This window comes from Homo sapiens, chromosome 11 (genome assembly GCF_000001405.40).
Source record: "Homo sapiens chromosome 11, GRCh38.p14 Primary Assembly".
Classification (NCBI taxonomy): Eukaryota; Metazoa; Chordata; class Mammalia; order Primates; family Hominidae; genus Homo; species Homo sapiens.
The window spans coordinates 124,210,172-124,218,135 of NC_000011.10; the positions used below are offsets into that span (position 1 = coordinate 124,210,172).

The window sequence follows — 7,964 nt, forward strand, 5'->3', positions numbered from 1 at the left end:
CTGGGCTGGCATCCAGGGCAGGAGTGACATCAACATAAGTTCTTCCCATGGCCCTGGTGCTCAGGGGTGGCCCAGGGCTCCCACTTGGTCAGCTTGTGACCCTGCCTCAGGGGCACCTCTAGGAGCCGATTTCAGGTCCTGGGACTAGAGGTCAGGAGTGTCAGGCTTGGTGGTTGTCCAGATGCAGGGCAGACCCCTGAGACTCAACCCCCAGTGCAGAGCCTTTTCTCAGGGCACAGGAACCTGGCACCATCAGCAAGGTGGGCATGGTGGCCATGCCACTGGCCAGGTCCCCAAAGCAGATGTTACCTCTGGCCCATCCTCCACACTCCATCTCCAACCACAGCACCATGCTGGGCCCAGCTCTGCCTCGGGGCCATCTCTGCCAGGCCTCCATGCCCAACCGTGCTGCTCCCCCACCAGGAAACTCGGCCCAGCCCCTTCGTGGTGGTCCCCACCATGACAGGCTCCAGGTGGCTTCCAGGGGCGGGGTCCAGAGACTGTCTGCCTCCTCCCCAGCCCCTCCCCACAGCAGTGGCAGGCAAGAGTGGTGACATGGGGCCAGGGTCAGGAGCCACAGAGTCTCTAGGCCTAGGGGTGGGTCTTACCTGGTCATGCAAAGGTGGGGGTGGCTCAGTTGCCTGCCTTGGAGACATGGGGGACAGGGGTCCCACCACCGTTATTGCTGCCCCTGCAGCCTCTCCTGCCACAACCGCTGGCCTCCCCACTGCAGCTGGCACCATGGTAGCGGCGGTTCTGGATGGCCTACTTTTGCCATCAATATAACGTTTAACAAAACATGAAATATAATTTTACTTCCAAAATAATTTAGTTTTATATAAGTACAAAAATAACTTCTGTAACACATATGTCTTTATTGTTCCTCAATATCATTCTTATTTTTTGATGAAAAAAGTCATCAACTCTCCTTGTTAGGCTTACTAGGAACTCCTCAGGGTCTTGGCAATATCTATCATATTTTAACTTGGGGACTGAATGAAAGCATTTTCTTCTTCATTGATCTGAAAGGAAACAGCCCTCAAGTTAAAACATTTCAAGCATTACTGTTTTATGAATACATCATGATATCAAAATATCATTAGTAGAGGTAAATGAAAATGAAAACTTTCAAATTTTAGAAACATTTGTTGTTATTTCTGATTTTCTATTTTCCCCTTGTGACAAATCACTTTAGACAATTCCTTTAATGTATGTTTTAAAAATTGGCTGAAATTTTGAACTTTTCATTGTCTCACTAAAGAGATGAAACTCACTAGAGCTCCAACAAAGTCTCTCACATCCTCATTTCCAATCTGTAATATTACAAGAACAATGAATCACAACATATGCCAATAGGGAAACACTTGAGAACCAAGAGGGGGAAAGGGAAATTCTAATTGTTTCTTTTCCCAAGAGCTGACATTTGTGGGAATAGAATCTAGAGGGAGATCATTATCATTGTTTGTTCCCTATCAGACTCTTACTCTTACCCAGCATATAAAATCCTCACATCAGCCACCCTTTGCAGAGTGCCAGATGGCTTTAGGCATCAGCTTTGTCAGAGATCAGGATGAATGACTCAAAATAATTGCCAAGGAGACTTTTGGGCTATGACCTCCTCGTACCATCAGATTCATTTTTCCCTCCAGAGCAATGGAGAAGAAAAATGTACAACCCTGGACCCTGGCAGAAAGGATGGGTATGTATGAGTCCCAGTCTTTGACTTTAAAATCTTGGAGTCTCCTGTTCCAGCTTCTTTCGCAGTGCAAAGAGAGATGCACACAGCTATTCATCTGTCTCTCCCTGTCCTTATTCTCACATTCACATGCCTTGATGAGCAGTGGTTCCCTTGTCATCTACTTGTTCTCTGCAATATACATTTATGACAAACACTTCTGTGTTTACTCATTTCAATTCAGGCAGTAAGAGGGTTTTTATTCAGTTATTTTGAATCCATATTTACATATCTCTAAGCTTCTTTGAGCAATTTTATTGAACATATATGTATTGAGTTGCTATATGCAAGGCACTACACCAAGCACTATATTGAATTTATAGTCTAGTACAGAAGAAAAGCAAATAAATAAATAATAATAACATAGAATGAAATTAGTGTTACATGTAAACATAAGAAATATATGTATGGACATAGAAAATGGCCTTATTAAGTAGAGTTTGCACTATTAAATGGCCTTATTAAGTAGAGTTTGCACTATTAAAGCCCTTAACTAAAGAGCCTTAACTATTAAATAGGATGTCATAGGCTACAGATGATAGACAAAGAGAAAAATTAAAGGGGCATCATGAGTTAAAACTGAGAGAGTACCAAATGGCCAAATCATGTAATAGCCAAATCATATAGTACTTGTTGGGACATAAAAGAAGAAAACTTTTATTTTGGTTGCCAGATGATAACAATCTTTGAATAAGAGATATTGATTTGAGCTTCCTATGAGGAAATGAAAAATAGTGCTGATTTAAAGAGGTTACTGTTCAGTAAAAAAAATAATTCTGAATCTCTGTGTTAATATGTGTATCCATGTAGGAAGGAGCAAAAACAAGATATGCTGAGGGAGGGAAAAAACCTTCAGCCATCATTATTGGAATAAAAATTTGAGCAAATAAAAAATATTTCAGAGAAGGCTCAATAGATTACAGTTAAAATAACACTGACATTTATTAAGTTCTTACCAACAGATGGGAACTATGCGTCTTTTGATTTTTACATGAGAATGATATTAACATTTCTACTTTTTAGAGGCCTGAAGACGAGAAGTAATTTTCTCAAGATCACACAGCATGTATATGGTTGAGATGATATTTTAACCCAGACTGCCTGATCTAATATCATAGCCCATTAGAATTTTAAATCATGAAATATTGGAACCAGAAGATATATTAAAGCTGATTGAATTCAAGCACCCATCTCATGCTGTGTCCTTGAATAATGTCTGCTAAATGGTTATACAAGCTGACTCTGACATTTCTGGCTATAAGTAAATTAAGGTGTGTTTGACTTTTGGAATGTTCTTTTTTGTTGTGAAACCAAATATTTCTCTCCATCATTTGAAGCACTTAGTTTTTATTTTTTCTCTCTTAGAGACATATACAAGGAGCCCTATACCTCTTAGATATTTTGAACATTTGGATATAAATGCCATGTGCCACATATATTTATATTGTGCTAGCTAAAACCTCAGTTATGTCAGTCATTATTCAAATGACAATATTTTTAGATCATGTTTCTGATATTGTCCAGTTTTTCTATATTCCACATAAAATATTAAACCCTAAACTGAAAACACTAATCCAGCTATTGCTGGAGTGTTACATAAGACCATAAATTTCTTTCATCTAGAATCTACTAATTTTCTTTGCAAAAGTAAATATGTATTAGCCTTTTTTGAAAATCCACATCACACTGTTGACTAGTTTTATATTTAGACTAAGATTGTGAATTGTATTTTGCATGTGCTCTACTAATCCACATAGCCATTATCTTTAAATTTTATAGTGAGCACAGGCAAAATATATGATTATAAAAAGTGATCAGTATAGAAGATATCTAATGTTTGTTTTCAGAAAGCCTTCTCGGTTTTGGAGAATATGAGTACTTTTCTGATCTTCTCCAATTCAGCCACGAAGTACACTTAATGTAGACCAATCATAGTTTTCTGCTCCCCTGGCCAGAATGGGATAATAGGTGACCTGCATTGAGACCATTGTATTACTCCCTTGGGATTATTCAAATTAGAACAAGAGAGGCAATTCCCTCACTGTTGGAAAAGCTCCTGAGGTATAAGGATGCTATCAGCCACGCAGTTATGTTTTTGCCTTGCAGAATAGCAGGTCTGGGTGAAGAAAGTTGAGAAATAAAGAGCTGAAATTTCGGGCAGAATGAGACAGGTCATTACCCAGTTCTTCAGCTATTTTTAGTTGAAATTCTCATAAGAAAAGTAACTCAGACTAATATAACTAATTTTATAAACTCATGCCTTCTATTTTTAGATAGATTAGATAGATAGATTAGATAGATAGATAGATAGATAGATAGATATGAGGTCTTGCTTTGTTGCCCAGGCTTGTCTCAAACAAGTGATCCTCCCACCTCAGCTTCCCAAAGTGCTGGGATTACAGGCATGAGCCACTGCGCCCGGCCAGGACTTCTATATTGATACATTATAAGGAGCATTTGGTTCTCTTTCCTAATCTGAGTAAAATGAAAATCTCATGGCTATGCTATTTGATGTGCATGACGTATTTATATCCTAGAGAATATGGTAGGAAAGAAAAGAATCCTCTGAAATAACATTAGTAGCTTGCTTTCTTATTGAGGTCAAAAATTGGTGTTTTCTCTTAAAAGGATATGAACTAAATTTTAATGTTTTTGATGTCTGCAGTTCCTCCTCTGGTCGACCAGACTATTGTCTATTAAACAGTAGCAAGAGAGGCTCAGGAGACCACTGCATTCTGTTTCTCCTCTGATAAGGTATAGAATATGCAATGATTTACAAATAATTTCTCTCTCACACACAAACACATTCAATTTCTCTTTTTAAAACTTAGAGACTGTTGACAAGATCGTGGACCCTGGAAACCATTCCTCAGTGACTGAGTCCATTCTGGCTGGGCTCTCAGAACAGCCAGAGCTCCAGCTGCGCCTCTTCCTCCTGTTCTTAGGAATCTGTGTGGTCACAGTGGTGGGCAACTTGGGCATGATCACACTGATTGGGCTCAGTTCTCACCTGCACACACCTATGTACTATTTCCTCAGCAGTCTGTCCTTCATTGACTTCTGCCATTCCACTGTCATTACCCCTAAGATGCTGGTGAACTTTGCGACAGAGAAGAACATCATCTCCTACCCTGAATGCATGGCTCAGCTCTATTTATTCAGTATTTTTGCTATTGCAGAGTGTCACATGTTGGCTGCAATGGCGTATGACTGTTATGTTGCCATCTGCAGCCCCTTGCTGTACAATGTCATCATGTCCTATCACCACTGCTTCTGGCTCACAGTGGGAGTTTACATTTTAGGCATCCTTGGATCTACAATTCATACCAGTTTTATGTTGAGACTCTTTTTGTGCAAGACTAATGTGATTAACCATTATTTTTGTGATCTTTTCCCTCTCTTGGGGCTCTCCTGCTCCAGCACCTACATCAATGAATTACTGGTTCTGGTCTTGAGTGCATTTAACATCCTGATGCCTGCCTTAACCATCCTTGCTTCTTACATCTTTATCATTGCCAGCATCCTCCGCATTCACTCCACTGAGGGCAGGTCCAAAGCCTTTAGCACTTGCAGCTCCCACATCTTGGCTGTTGCTGTTTTCTTTGGATCTGCAGCATTCATGTACCTGCAGCCATCATCTGTCAGCTCCATGGACCAGAGGAAAGTGTCGTCTGTGTTTTATACTACTATTGTGCCCATGCTGAACCCCCTGATCTACAGCCTGAGGAATAAAGATGTCAAACTTGCCGTGAAGAAAATTCTGCATCAGACAGCATGTTAATGAATAGAATCAATGTTATGTTGTTACATCAAGATAGGTCTTTGGTTTGATTAGATATCTAACTTATTGGATTTATTGTTGAGATTTATGAAAATTTAGTGATGCTCTTTTATGTAACACCTCTCCAAAATATTCCTCCGGTCTGCTTCCATCGAACTTATATTCCAATGAGCATATGTAAAGAAATACAAAGAATAAAATCAAAAGACTTTTGAGGTTTAAAGTATCCCTAGTTTTATTTATTATTATTATTGAGATGGAGTCTAGCTCTGTCACCTAGGCTGGAGTGCAGTGGTTCGACCTTGGCTCACTGCAGCCTCCGCCTCCCAAGTTCAAGAAATTCTTTTGCCTCAGCCTCCTGAGTAGCTGAGATTACAGGCGTGTGCCACCATGCCTGGCTAATTTTTAAATTTTTAGTAGAGACAGGGTTTCACCATATTGGCTAGGCTGGTCTCGAACTCCTGACATTCAGTGATCTGCCTGCCTCGGCCTCCCAAAGTGTTGGGATTACCGGTTTGAGCCACTACTCTCAGCCCCTAGTTTTATCTTTTAATTATAATATAGACAGCAACCTCAACAACAACAGCAATGATGATGATGGTAATGAGAATGATAGTAATAACATATATTATTGAAAGTTTATGAAATATCAAGCACCCAGCTAAATGGGTCACTCTATTTAACATTTACAGTATTACTTCAGGGAAAGTCTTAGTATTATTATGCTTTTAAATATGAAAAAAATTAAACATTTATTTGAGTGACTGCTCAGGGTTCCAACCATAATATGACATTGAGACTGGAAAGGTTGGCTCAAGGACTTTTGACATTATTCAAAGTGGTACTTGGTCCAGGTAATTGTGAGTAGGTCTAAGGACTCTAGAGAATTTCTGTCTGCAAATCAAGCTTCCCCCGTTCCCTATGACATGTTCCCTACATGATTGTGTCACTGTCCTCTGGACAGCTTCATGACAGTTTCACTTTTATTTCATTTATCATAATGAACATAACCAAAATCTTTCAAATTTGTAATGATCTACGAAAAACAAAGCAAAACCAGAAAATTATTCTAGTCTTATTATAGAGATGCATTGTAGATACTTATATTATTATACTTCATATCAACAATTTATAAAAAACACACATTGTTTTATCGTCATACCAATAACACTATGGCTCTTTATGAGGCAGATCACTGGGGCAGCTGAAAATTCTACTAAGTTGCATTGCTTCCATGTGGTTCACACTCTTTGGTATCATAATTTATAAACAGGTGCCATTTTATGTCAAATTTTCCTTAAAAAAATCTCTTCTCTGCCCTCATGTTATTACTTTTCTGCTTCTGGGCATTTAACATCCTGTAACTGTGAATATCCACGATATTCTAATTACTCGATTGCCTGTGTCTCTCCCCAATTTAAATTACCTACTCGCTATTGTCAGATCAATATTTTTTGATGCTGTTCCGTGTTATTCAACTAATATAACAAGTTTTGGTGTTCACTATAATTTCCTAATATAGGAACAACTAGTACAATATGTCTTTATCATTCTTATATTTCATTATCCATCCATTCAATGCAGTAAGAGATTTGTTCTCAAGGACCCATTGCATTTATTATTTCACTTAATTTTCATCATTTATATAAAGTAAGGGAAAATGGCTACAACTATAACTCTTGTCTTAGGCATGATTCCCAGTCTAGCACTCTGTCCAACAGACTGTCATATATACCAATAGGCTAAAAGAGGACAAACCAAAAAGCACTGTTGGGTAGACACTTGAATCAATATGGCTTGAGCTCATACACAAAATATAGGCTACTTAAAAGGCAGTAGCTTTATCAAGGAAGAGGGAAAAAGCATGTCATATTCAGGGTACTATAATCAAGGCACAAAGATAGAAGAGTAAGCTGAAGTAGTTCATGAACCACCCTGGGTCACTGTAAGACACCACTCCTTATTTTTTTTAATTTCAAGTTTCAATTTTTGTGGGTACATAATAGGTGTATATATTTATGGGTTGCATGAGATATTTTGAAACAAGCTTGCAATACATAATAATCACATCAGAGTAAATGGTTTATCTATCACCTCAAGCATTTATCCTTTGTGTTATAATCCAATTATACCCTTTTAGTTATTTTTAAATATACAATTAAATTATTTTTGACTATAGTAACCCTATTGTGCTAGCAAATACCAGGTCTTTTCCATTCTTTCTATTATGTGTACCCACTAACCCTCCCCATTTTCCCAACCCTGCCCCCCCATCTGACCCCACCTACTACCCTTCACAGCCTCTGGTAACCATTCTTCTACTCTCTATCTCCATGAGTTCAATTGTTTTAACTTTTAGCTCCCATGTGTGAGAACATGTGAAATTTCTCTGTCTGTGCCTGGCTTATTTCACTTAACATAATGACCTCCAGTTTCATCCATGTTGTT

At 38.7% G+C, this 7,964-nt stretch overlaps 1 pseudogene across 1 annotated transcript; it reads left to right on the forward strand.

The window, feature by feature from the left end:
- The first annotated feature begins 1,535 nt into the window (after positions 1–1,535).
- OR8G3 (olfactory receptor family 8 subfamily G member 3 (gene/pseudogene)) lies at positions 1,536–5,657 on the forward strand (annotated as a pseudogene). Its single transcript, NR_172910.1, has 3 exons — positions 1,536–1,699; positions 4,401–4,489; positions 4,567–5,657. The product of NR_172910.1 is annotated as an olfactory receptor family 8 subfamily G member 3 (gene/pseudogene) (transcript).
- Positions 5,658–7,964: the final 2,307 nt, after the last annotated feature.